Raw genomic sequence first — 13,078 nt, 5'->3', positions numbered from 1 at the left:
GCTGGGAGAGGGATAACATTAGGAGAAATACCTAATGTAAATGACGAGTTGATGGGTGCAGCAAAAGAACATGGCACATGTGTAACTATGTAACAAACCTGCACGTTGTGCACATGTACCCTAGAACTTAAAGTATAATAAAAAAGAAAAAAAAGAAACTGAGAGAGATACTTCCTCTCTGCCATGTGAAGATACATCAAGAAGGTGGCTGTCAACAAGCCTGGAAGTGGGCCCTCGCCAGACACCAGATTAGCTGGCACCTTGATCTTGGACTTCCCAGCCTTCTGAACTGTGAGAGATAAATGTTTGTTGTTTAGGTCACCCAGTCTATGGTATTTTTGCTATAGCGGGCTGAACTAAGACAAACCTCAAGAGCTATACAAATACATCTTTTCTTTTCTTCAAACGTCCAGAGCTATACAAACACATGTGGTCATGTCATCTGAAGTCTACAATGCTCTGCATTTTTCACATGAAAATGACACTTGGTATCTAATGGCATTTTGGTTTATCTTTCAGTATGATGAGATTGTTTCTTTAAAGGGAAATAGAGAACTGTAAAAGCTGTAGTAGGACTTACCTTCTTTCATAATCTCTCTTCATATATACATATATATATATATATAGAGAGAGAGAGAGACATATATATACACACACACACATATGTGAAACTCTTAAAGTATATTGTATTATTGCTGTGTATTTGTAACTCTGTTTTATTGTTCACAGCCATGCTATTACTGTTCTATACAGATTTAGCATTTATGCTTCAAGTCCATTGAATTTTACATTCCTTTATTGTATTAAAAACAGAAGTGATTACAAAGGAAAATGTAGCAACAGTAATGCTTTATATTTCCTTTATCTTGTTTGTGTCCATGAAGTAATTAGTACTAACAAAAAAGCGTTAATTTTTGGCACATATATTTTAGGTTTGTAAATTGCACATTCCATATACCTTCATTGTGTTGAAACAGACAGACATTATAAAGGTGAATGTAAAAACAATAAAGCTATAGCTTTTTTTTTCCAAAAAATTATAGAATTTTAGAGTGTTTACATAACTGGAAATACTTAAATATTTTTATTTATAAAATCCTTGAGTTTTCAAAACCAGTACAACTGAGCTGCCTTTGAGTCATTTGTATCTGGAATATAGCACTTCCCTTTCTCTTATTTTGTGTAGTTGCTGAGGAAATGGGTTTTCAGTATACATGATTCAAGTGGGGAAAAAAAACTGCATATTTGATTCCAAAATATTCCTTAGACTGGAAAAAAATCTCTTTTGGAATAGTCATGTTTATTTTATAGTAACTCTACAGCAGGACAATTTAGCATGTTAATGCAGAAATGTGAACAGCTTTATAGAACAAAATACTTACTATTTTCTAGCTGCCTTACGGAAATTATTTACTCAAGGAAACAGAACAGAATTTCTTGGTTTCATTAATCAGCTTTGTAAATATTTTGCCAGAGCTTTTTTTCTTGGCGGGGGTGGGGGGGGGAAGCAAATAAAAAAGTTTAAAAGCTCATATGTGTCTATTTTGTTTTAGCTTGGAGTATTTATTAAGAGTAAATTCTGTGTGTCTTTGCAGTTCATCAATATGTGTATTTAGAAGTTTTTCAAGTTCTTTTGCTCGTTTCTCTTCTTCCAGAAGGAAATGCTGTGCAGCCAAAGATGCTGGGAAGGACATATCTGGGGGAGACTAAAGAGAGAAAGAAAGAAAAGTGAGTGAGGAATACAGAGCTTTAAAAAATCTTCCCATTTCCAGGCATGCTTCATCCCTGACATACTGTCAAACACCGCAGCTCTTAATGAAAGAATACATCCTGGGCTGAATTCCCACTACTAGTGTAATTCAGTTACCACTAATGAAATCCTCAAGGAACTAAGTAAGACATCACAGCACCATTACATTAAAAAGCTCTACAAATGAGTGTTATATTGTCCAACTGCAAATGCAGGGACAATGCACTCACCATGGAACCTGCCTAAAACATGCTGCAATCATTTGCAAAGCCAATGATTTTCATTTGAAAATAGGCAACTCCAAAAAGCTAAAGTAAAGATTATAGTGGAATTGCACTAGACAGTTTATAGAGAAGAAAATAAGGATTGGCTTTGACAGGGAGAATCAATGCTTGGAGTTAGCCAGGTGAGAGGGCTGGCTGCATGATGTGTCTTGGGGTGGAGGTGGCTCCCTAGTAGGGAAGGCTTGATGCTGGCATGTATCTTGTTTGTCTTATCACAGAGAAGAAAGTATCAGGGACAAGTGCCCCAATTCCACCCTTCATGGTGACATGAAAATGCTATTTAATTGTTTGTGACCTGTTTAGTGCTTATTTAAAAAAAAATAAAAATCTGTGGCTAAAGAATAAAGGACAACATCAGATAATTTTACAATTCTTCGTTTTGAAAAGCCACATACAAAAATTAAGTAATTTTTTTTTGTTGGGGAAATCTGTACTTTAATTTTCCAGTTCTGTGGTTGCTATATTCTTCTTTGATTTTCATTTTGGTAGGAAGAATGGGACTTTATGTAGTGTTTGGGGAGTCGACAATCTGTATACATGTGAACCTTGTTAGGTGGATTTTGTTCACCAATCTGGCCCCTGCCAAAACTAGGGATCATGCAAATGATGGAGTACTGCACACTTTTCCAACCAGTAGGCCCAACTGTAGCTGCTGTGTCAGGGATAGTATCTCTACTAGAGAAGACTATCACAGCCTGGGGTAGATGGTATGCTACTATTGATCTGGCAAATGCATTATTTTTAATATTGGCAAATGCATTCTTTTTAATATCTAATAAAAAGGAGGATAGGAAGCAGTTAGCATTCACATGTGGTGGCCAACAATATATATCCATGGTTTTGCCCCAAAGTTATGTTAATGAAGCTGTCACAATAAATTCTGAAGGGGCCTAGCCCATCTGGACATTCCAAAGACTATCACATGGAACATCATATATTAACACTAACATCATGTTAATGAGACTTGATGAGCAAGAAGTGGCAAGTATGTTAAAGGGATGGAAAGATGTATGTACTCCAGAAGGTGAAAGATAAACCCCATAAAAGATTGGGGCTTGACACATTGTTTTTAGGTGTCTACTGCTATGTGGCATGTCAGAACATCCTAGGTAAAGCAAAAATTAATGCACCTTGAAAATGTTCCACCCTTGGATCAAATAATTGAATAATCTGATTCATTTATTGGGTGACACAGAAAAAATTTTTTTTTTTTTTTTTTGAGACGGAGTCTCACTCTGTCGCCCACACTGGAGTGCAGTGGCGTGATCTCGGCTCACTGCAAGCTCCACCTCCCGGGTTCACGCCATTCTCCTGCCTCAGCCTCCCGAGTAGCTGGGACTACAGGCGCCCGCCACCACTCCCGGCTAATTTTTTGTATTTTTAGTAGAGACGGGGTTTCACCATGTTAGCCAGGATGGTCTCGATCTCCTGACCTCGTGATCTGCCCTCCTCGGCCTCCCAAAGTGCTGGGATTACAGGCGTGAGCCACCATGCCTGGTGAAAAAATTATTTTGTGAGAAAGCCCAGAACTCTGGAAAGAAAGAGCTGTGTAGGAGGTTCAGGATAGGGTACAAGTAGTCCTGCTACTTTGGTCAAATAACTTGGTAGATCCCATACTAGAAGAATCTCTGGTAAAGAAAAATGCCTTGTGGAGCCTCTGGCAAGTTTCATCGGGAAAGCTGTGTTGCAGACCCTTAAGATTCTGGAACAAGGCTATGCTATCTGTAGCAGAAACCTATATACTATTTGCAAGACAATTCTTGTCATGCTGTTGAGTCCTGGTTGAGACTCCAGCAAGTGGACAGGATGATTTGATCCAGCCTTTGTCTTTGGCTACCTCAGTGGGAATTATGCATCATCCCAATACCATGATTTCCCCTTTCACCAAGGGTAATCCAGCTGCTATTGCTGTTGAATGTCTGACCTGCTTGCAACAGAAACCAAAGCTGAGCTCTTGATATGGCATCATCCCTCAAGGAGACCAGCCAGCCTCTTGGTGGCAACTTGACTGCAATAGGTCCCTAGCACCTTGGAAAGGGCAATGCTGTATGCTTATCAGAATGGATATGAATTCTGCGTGTTTGCCTTTCCTGGCTGCACCACTATCTTAGGGCTCACAGAATCACTTATCTGCAGACATGAGAGAGACCCTGCTTAATAGTAAAGGTACCTACTTTATAGCAAAAGAGTATGGCAGTGGGGGCACGACCATGGTATCCACTGGTCCTAACCACACACAGCACTATCCAGAGGATGCTAACATGATAGAGCTTTGGGACGGCCTCTTGAGGGCAAAGCTGAGGCACCAGCTTGGAGATTATATCCTGTGAGGTTGGGGTGCCATTCTTCAGGATGTGGTATAGACTTTAAACCGATGGCTGTTTTATGGTTCTGTGTTTCCAATGGGTAGAATACATGGATCTGGGAACAAAAGGGAGGAAGTAGGAATGGCTTCACTCTCTATCACTTCTGTTAACCCACTTGGAGAATCTGTGCTTTCTGTCTATGTATCTTTAGGCTCTGTTGTTCTACAGGTCCTGGCTCTTAGAGGCGGAATGCTTCTACCAAGAGACCTGTAAGAGTCCCACCAAACTTAGAGCTTTGGCTCCCATGTGGTCACTTTGGGCTCCTCATGCCAACAGATCAGACACACAGAGTGGAGTTCCTATATTGGCAGAGGTAGCTGACCCTAAGTCATCCTGAAGAGTTAAGATTGCTACTGCATAACAGAGGCAGTGAGGAATGTGTTTGGTACTCTGATGATCCTCTGAGGCATCTTTTGGTACTCTCATGCCCAATTTTAATTTTAATTGGCAAATACAGAAACCATATCCTAATAAGGGCATGGACATTAGGGGCTCACCCCAAAAGAAAAGCCACCTGGATCAACAGAAGAGTTGGCTGACGGGGAGAGGAATCTAGAATGGGTGAGGCAGTGATAGGTGTCAGCGACCAATTGCAGCATGAGGGGCTGTGGCTTATCTCACTAACTTTCCTCTCAACAGTTTTTCCAGAAATTATGACCAGCAAGAATCGTGAAGAAGCTATGCCTGAATGGAAGCTATGGAAGAAGGTGGTTCTGAGTGGTGCAACAGGTTGACCATGGTGGTTGGTCCCCTACCCGGATCCCCTTCCCCAGGCTGATGCATCTCTCCTCTAGCTGGGTGGGTGTTGGCTACTAACAGCTCACAGCTGGCTCCTTTGGGGAACTGCCCTCCACCGAACTGGAGGCTCCTGCCTCACCTGGGAGGCTGCAGTCCCTCCTCTGCCCATTTGCTATCCTCTCTGAGGCAATGACTGATTGATGGACACAGGGGCGTAAAATACCAAACTTTTTGTTTGGTGAGAACAAATGCTGTGGTGCAATTCATGTGCCAAGCTTCCTGGGACACCAGGCTATACTAGTTTGTAGCTCAGACCACATCTTTGCTTAATTTTCCTCCCCTTCCCTAGCCTGTCTCCTTCACTCTCCTCCTGAAAATACTAAAATACTCCCTCGGTAAATCGCTTTCACAAGAATCTCATCTCAGATTCTAGGAAACCTGATCTCAGAGAGATGACTTCCTAGATTCTGGCCTGAGTGATTAGTGACACTCATGCCATTTACTGAGAAAGAGAAAAAGGTAAAGGAAGCCATTAAGAGTAAGATATTCTTTCTTTCTTTTTATGGATTGATTGATTGATTGATTGATTTAGAGACAGTGTCTTGCTCTATTGCCCAGGCTGGAGCACAGTGGTGCAACCACAGCTAACTCTTAACTTCCAGCTCCTGGGCTCAAGTGATCCTCCCACTTCAGCCTCCTGAGTAGGTGGGACTATAGGCACACACCACCACACCCAGCTCTTTTTTAAAAAAGTTTTTATAGAAACGGAGCCTCATTATGTTGCCCAGACTGGTCTTGAACTCTTGGGCTCAAGCAATCCCTCTTGCCTTGGCCTGAGATTGTAGGTGTGAGCCACAGCTCCTGGCCTCTTACTTATTTCTGATTCATCAGGTTCTAGCACAGATTCTAGGCCAGTGTGTTTTCAATAAAATTTTTTAGTTAGTTTATGAATGAAGAAAATGGATTCAATTTTGAATAATAATGAGTTTGAGGTGACTTGAGACTTAAACAGACTCAAGTAAACAGTGAGATATGTCAATCTAGGACTCAGAATATAGGTCTGAATCAGAGAGACAGACTTGGAAGTTATAGATGACAAGGCCATGAGATTGACTGAAATTATCCAAGATAGGCAAGTAAAAGGAAAAAAAGAAGTTAAAAGATGGAGCCCTGAAGAATCCTTCATGTCAGGCATCCACCCACATAGCATGTCCTTGACACTATCATCAATGAGAACTGCATTATTTACTAATTGAGATTTAAAGCAACCTATCCATCATCCTTCCAGCATGCTTAATCTAGTACTCCCACGCCAGCATTTCTCTGACCTCATTTAGACTCTTTACTTTTCACTATCCATCATCTTCCTCATACTCTCTCTTCCTAACTCTGCTTATTCCCGTCCATCTCATAACCATTCAGCAACTTGTCCCTCCCTGTATCTTGTCTCTATCCTCATTACCTGGTAAACCCCTGTATCTTGTCTCTATCCTAATAACCTGGTAAAACCCACCCCTAATTAAGCTGGCCCATCTGCCCGGGTCTTGCCTACACCTGAGCAGCTGAATGCTGGAGCCAACAGGTTGGGGGTAAATTACTGCATGGACTAGTTTCACTTTAAATTCATGACCATAAATATCATGTGGTCAGTGAACACTGCAAGGCGATTCTATTGCACTTCCCTAGTATGTTCACTTTCTTACTCATTACGTTGTGGCCTGGCTTCCTCCTAGGAGTCAGAGGGGAGCTCCCTCATTATTCCACATCCATTTGTATCTGTAGCTGAATTTTAGGCCATCCTCCTGTTTCAGAAACTCATCCTTCCTCCTATACTGCAGATCCTATTTCTTCTTACCTCTCAGTGACTTTGTTTCTGCAAATGAAAGAGGACCCTCCTTGAGCCCCATCCTCTTCATTATCAAACTTTCCTCCTGTCCTTCAGGATTCCCATTAGGTCACTCAATATTATGACCCAAGGCTTTGTATTGGGATGATTTCTTTTTTATACTTCAGTATTTTCATCCAGTTCTATAGACTTAAATACCAACCATATGCCGATTATTCCCACATTTGTATTTCCAGCTTTGATCTCTCCCTCGAATATCAGATTCACATATCCTATTGACTATTTAATGTCTACGTTTGGGTGTCTAGTAAACATTTTAAACTTATATGCCCAACCTAGAAATCATGATTACTCCTCTAACCCTATTTCTTCCCTAGTCTTCCCATGTCGGAAAGTGGTATTAGCATCTACTCAATGCTCAGGTTGAAATCCTAGGAGTCATCTTTAATCACTCTTTTCTCCCACTTCCCATAAACAATTCATTGTCAAGTCTGGTCTACACACCAGAATATTTCCTGGATCTAATATGTTGCTCTATCTCCACTGCTACCAAGCCAGCATCATCTCTTGCCTAGGCTACTGAAATAGCCTTACAATAGTTGTCTCCTCTTCTACCCTTGCCCCTCTATAATTTATTCTTTATTTAGTAGTAAAAAGGATCTTTTAAAAATTTTAAACATATCTGTTTATTATTAGAGTAAAATAATTTGAAATGGAGTAAACAGACCAGTATTTTCCTAACTGAAACTTTAAAATGGCTTCCCATTGTTTTAAAATAAAATCCAAACTCCTTCCCATGACCTACTGTCCTCATATATCGGACTTCCCCTGACAACTTATCTGTTCCCTTTTGTTCCAGTCTCCCTCTTCCCTTCTAAGCTCCAGAAGGTCCCCCAACCTTTCTGGTTCTCATGCCTGCCAAACTCGTTCCTGCCTTATAGTTCCCTTACTTAAAACTCTCTTCTACCAGATCTTTGCAAGGCTGGATTTGCTGTTGTTTGGGTTTCACCTTAAATTTCCCTTTCTCAATGATAATTTTCCTGGCTACTCAACCTAAAGTAATCCCCCATACTTTCATCACTCCCTATCACATTACCTGCTTTTCTTTTCATCACAGCATTTATCACTATTTGATATTTTCTTTCTTTCTTTTTTTTTTTTTTTTTTTTGAGACAGTGTTTCGCTCTGTTGCCCAGGCTGGAGTGCAGTGATCCTATCTCGGCTCACTGCAACCTCTGCTTCCCGGGTTCAAGCGATTCTCTTGCCTCAGCTTCTGGAGTAGCTGGGACTACAGGCATGTGCCACCACGCCCAGCCAATTTTTGTATTTTTAGTAGAGACGGGGCTTCACCATGTTGGCCAGCCTGGTCTTGAACTCCTGACCTCAGGTGATCTGACCACCTCGGCTTCCCAAAGTGCTGGGATTATAGGCATGAGCCACAGCGCCTGGCCTTGATATTTTCTTATTTGTTCATTTATTTCCAATCATTAATTTTTCTCCTCTTGTTTGTTTTTGAGATAAAATTCACATACAATTAACCATTTCAAAATGAGTGGTTCAGTGGCATTTAGTACATTCACAATGTTGTGCAACCACCATCTCTATCTAGTTCCAAAATAGTTTCATTATCCGTAATGAAAACTCTGTACTCCTTAAGCCACTGCTCCTTGTTTCTCCCTCCCCACTGCCCCTGGTAACCACCAATCTACATTGTTTCAGTGGATTTCATTTACCTATTTGGCTATTTCATATACATGGAATTATACAATATAGCCTTTTGTGTTTGGCTTCTTTCACTTAACATGTTTTTGAGGCTCATCCACATTGTAGTAATTTTTGGCCTTTTTTGGCATAGCTGCTTTTAATGGCTGAATAATATTCCATTGTATGTATATATCACAATCTGATTATCCATTCATCCATTGATGAAGTTTCCTCTTTTTTTTTCACCATACTACTTATGTGTCTATCTTATTCAAAGACATGTTTAGAACAGGAACTGCCATATAGTTGGTGCTCAATACATGTTTATTTTATTTTATGAATAAATAACACTAATATTTAAGGGACAGAAATAGGAGGGAGAACCCTAGAAACAGGCTGGGAAACAGTAGCCAGAGGGTGGCAGGAGAATCAGCGGAGTATAGTGTCATAGAAGCCAGAGAACATAAGAGTATCAAGACAACAAGATTAAGAAAGAAAGATGAATACTTCAGAATGTGCATTTAATTAGCAACTAGAAGATCGGCAGTAGTCTTGATAGGAATGGTACTGATGTGGATGTCAAAATGCATTAGAAGATGGAAACCACTAGACCTAGAACAGTGGCTTCCCGTAGGATTTTTAAGGCCTCCATCACAGATTAGGTTCCCCATGCCCAGTTCCTAGAAGAGTTGAGAATTTTCTCTCCTGGTTACTCTGGAGGTTAGGAATTCCTTAAAAGAGTAATGTAGAATTTTAGAGATAGAAGGAAGCCCCATGTTATTAAATCAAATCAACAGATACTTCTGCATGTCTTTTATGTGCCTACTAGTGCTGACCCTATTTTAGGTGTTGGGTTACCACAAAAACAAAAATAGAAAACACCCCCTGCTTTCATGGAGCATACATTCTAAAGGAGGGAGGGCAAGCAACAAAATGTCTCATAGTGAAGTGCTATGAAAAAAGGCAAGATGAGGGGCAGGGAGTGAAGAGGAAGGTGCTATTGTGGACTGGTTGCTTAGGCATCTCTGATAAGGTGATATTTGAGCGGACACTAATTGTGATCCTAAAAATCCTAAAATCATCTGACACTAGCACAGTGGAGTATTTAGCAACTTTTTCCATTGCTTGACTGAAATATGTGCTTACTTTAAGTCCTTAGTGATCAAAGTTTTATTGATGCAGAATTTGCAAAGTCCCCTTAGAATTTCTCATAACTTAAATGAGGAATTTTATTTAGTTTACATTATTGGTATGTATTTTAGTCTGTTCAAATAATGTTGGCATTTTATGTTGAGATGAACACAAAAGAGCATTTCAGGGCTTTAGACATCTCTAATACTTCAAAAGCTAATGGTTTTAAGCATTCTTCTACCAAAATAGCTTAACTTTACTTCTAGTCTCTACTATTACAAGGCAAAACCAACATATAAGCAACAAAGGGCTTATATCAAGAATAGAAAGGATACCCATAAATCAATAATAATAAAGACAATCCAACAGAAAATTAAGTGAGGAAATTGAACGGATATTTTATAATGGATATCAAAATGGCCAATAAACATATGAATGGTGCTCAGTCTCATTATTCACCAGAGAAACATGAATTAAAACCACACAATAGGATCTTACTACACACTGACCATAATAGCTAAATTTAAAAAGGCCTATATTACCATGTGTTAGACAGTAGAGCAAGGACAACTCTTTTTCTTTTTAATTTATGATTTCACTTAAAATAACTTTTAATAAAAGGCTTATATATAAAAACAGGTTAATGATTGCCTATGACCAGGGTAATGAAATCAGTAAATACAAAAGAGATGAATTTCTTTTTCCACAGTGGTAAGGTTATTTCAAAATTAGATTGTGATTATGGCTGTCTGTAAGTACACTTTAAAAACTTGGAATTGTACACTTAAAACATGTGATGGTTTTGTTATAAAACTTTTTTTTAATTTTATTATTATTATACTTTAAGTTTTAGGGTACATGTGCACAATGTGCAGGTTTGTTACATATGTATACATGTGCCATGTTGGTGTGCTGCACCCATTAACTCGTCATTTAGCATTAGGTATATCTCCTAATGCTATCCCTCCCACCTCCCCCCACCCCACAACAGTCTCCAGAGTGTGATGTTCCCTTTCCTGTGTCCATGTATTCTCATTGTTCAATGCCCATCAATGAGTGAGAACATGTGGTGTTTGGTTTTTTGTTCTTGAGATAGTTTGCTGAGAATGATGGTTTCCAGTTTCATCCATGTCCCTACAGAGGACATGAACTCATCATTTTTTATGGCTGCATAGTATTCCATGGTGTACATGTGCCACATTTTCTTAATCCAGTCTATCATTGTTGGACATTTGGGTTGGTTCCAAGTCTTTGCTATTGTGAATAGTGCCGCAATAAACATACATGTGCATGTGTCTTTATAGCAGCATGATTTATAATCCTTTGGGTATATAGGGATCTAGTTCTAGATCCCTGAGGAATCGCCACACTGACTTCCACAATGGTTGAACTAGTTTACAGTCCCACCAACAGTGTAAAAGTGTTCCTATTTCTCCACATCCTCTCCAGCACCTGTTGTTTCCTGACTTTTTAATGATTGCCATTCTAACTGGCATGAGATGGTATCTCATTGTGGTTTTGATTTGCATTTCTCTGATGCAGTGATGATGAGCATTTTTTCATGTGTTTTTTGGCTGCATAAATGTCTTCTTTTGAGAAGTGTCTGTTCATGACCTTCGCCGACTTTTTGATGGGGTTGTTTGTTTTTTTCTTGTAAATTTGTTTGAGTCGATTGTAGATTCTGGATATTAGCCCTTTGTCAGATGAGTAGGTTGTGAAAAGTTTCTCCCATTTTGTAGGTTGCCTGTTCACTCTGATGGTAGTTTCTTTTGCTGTGCAGAAGCTCTTTAGTTTAATTAGATCCCATTTGTCAATTTTGGCTTTTGTTGCCATTGCTTTTGGTGTTTTAGACATGAAGTCCTTGCCCATGCCTATGTCCTGAATGGTATTGCCTAGGTTTTCTTCTAGGGTTTTTATGGTTTTAGGTCTAACATTTAACTCTTTAATCCATCTTGAATTAATTTTTGTATAAGGTGTAAGGAAGGGATGCAGTTTCAGCTTTCTACATATGGCTAGCCAGTTTTCCCAGCACCATTTATTAAATAGGGAATCCTTTCCCCATTGCTTATTTTTGTCAGGTTTGTCAAAGATCAGATGGTTGTAGATATGCGGCATTATTTCTGAGGGCTCTGTTATGTTCCATTGATCTATATTTCTGTTTTGGTACCAGTACCATGCTGTTTTGGTTACTGTAGCCTTGTAGTATAGTTTGAAGTCAGGTAGCATGATGCCTCCAGCTTTGTTCTTTTGGCTTAGGATTGACTTGGCGATGTGGGCTCTTTTTTGGTTCCATATGAACTTTAAAGTAGTTTCTTCCAATTTTTTGAAGAAAGTCATTGGTAGCTTGATGCGGATGGCACTGAATCTACAAATTACCTTGGGCAGTATGGCCATTTTCTTTTTTTTTTTTTTTTTTTCTTTTTTTTTTTTTTTTTATTATACTCTAAGTTTTAGGGTACATGTGCACATTGTGCAGGTTAGTTACATATGTATACATGTGCCATGCTGGTGCGCTGCACCCACTAATGTGTCATCTAGCATTAGGTATATCTCCCAATGCTATCCCTCCCCCCTCCCCCGACCCCACCACAGTCCCCAGAGTGTGATATTCCCCTTCCTGTGTCCATGTGATCTCATTGTTCAATTCCCACCTATGAGTGAGAATATGCGGTGTTTGGTTTTTTGTTCTTGCGATAGTTTACTGAGAATGATGGTTTCCAATTTCATCCATGTCCCTACAAAGGATATGAACTCATCATTTTTTATGGCTGCATAGTATTCCATGGTGTATATGTGCCACATTTTCTTAATCCAGTCTATCATTGTTGGACATTTGGGTTGGTTCCAAGTCTTTGCTATTGTGAATAGTGCCGCAATAAACATACGTGTGCATGTGTCTTTATAGCAGCATGATTTATACTCATTTGGGTATATACCCAGTAATGGGATGGCTGGGTCAAATGGTATTTCTAGTTCTAGATCCCTGAGGAATCGCCACACTGACTTCCACAATGGTTGAACTAGTTTACAGTCCCACCAACAGTGTAAAAGTGTTCCTATTTCTCCGCATCCTCTCCAGCACCTGTTGTTTCCTGACTTTTTAATGATTGCCATTCTAACTGGTGTGAGATGATATCTCATAGTGGTTTTGATTTGCATTTCTCTGATGGCCAGTGATGATGAGCATTTCTTCATGTGTTTTTTGGCTGCATAAATGTCTTCTTTTGAGAAGTGTCTGTTCATGTCCTTCGCCCACTTT

At 39.6% G+C, this 13,078-nt stretch overlaps 1 protein-coding gene across 12 annotated transcripts in view; it reads right to left on the bottom strand.

Moving 5' to 3' along the window:
* Positions 1 to 778: 778 nt before the first annotated feature.
* The window catches only part of DEUP1 (deuterosome assembly protein 1), a 108,473-nt gene continuing 96,173 nt past the window's right edge, over positions 779 to 13,078 (bottom strand). For 10 of the 12 annotated variants that reach the window (XM_011542631.3, XM_047426455.1, XM_011542630.2 and 7 more), the window contains one exon: positions 779 to 1,706. In XM_011542631.3, coding sequence (XP_011540933.1) covers positions 1,530 to 1,706 — 177 coding nt within the window. In that variant the 3' untranslated portion in view covers positions 779 to 1,529. Of the gene's footprint in view, positions 1,707 to 4,208; positions 4,456 to 6,743; positions 7,012 to 13,078 lie in introns of those variants that run through there. The other 2 variants (XR_007062456.1, XM_011542632.4) reach the window with 2 other exon arrangements.

This window comes from Homo sapiens, chromosome 11 (genome assembly GCF_000001405.40).
Source record: "Homo sapiens chromosome 11, GRCh38.p14 Primary Assembly".
Lineage (NCBI taxonomy): Eukaryota > Metazoa > Chordata > Mammalia > Primates > Hominidae > Homo > Homo sapiens.
This window is presented reverse-complemented; position numbering and strand designations above follow the sequence as displayed.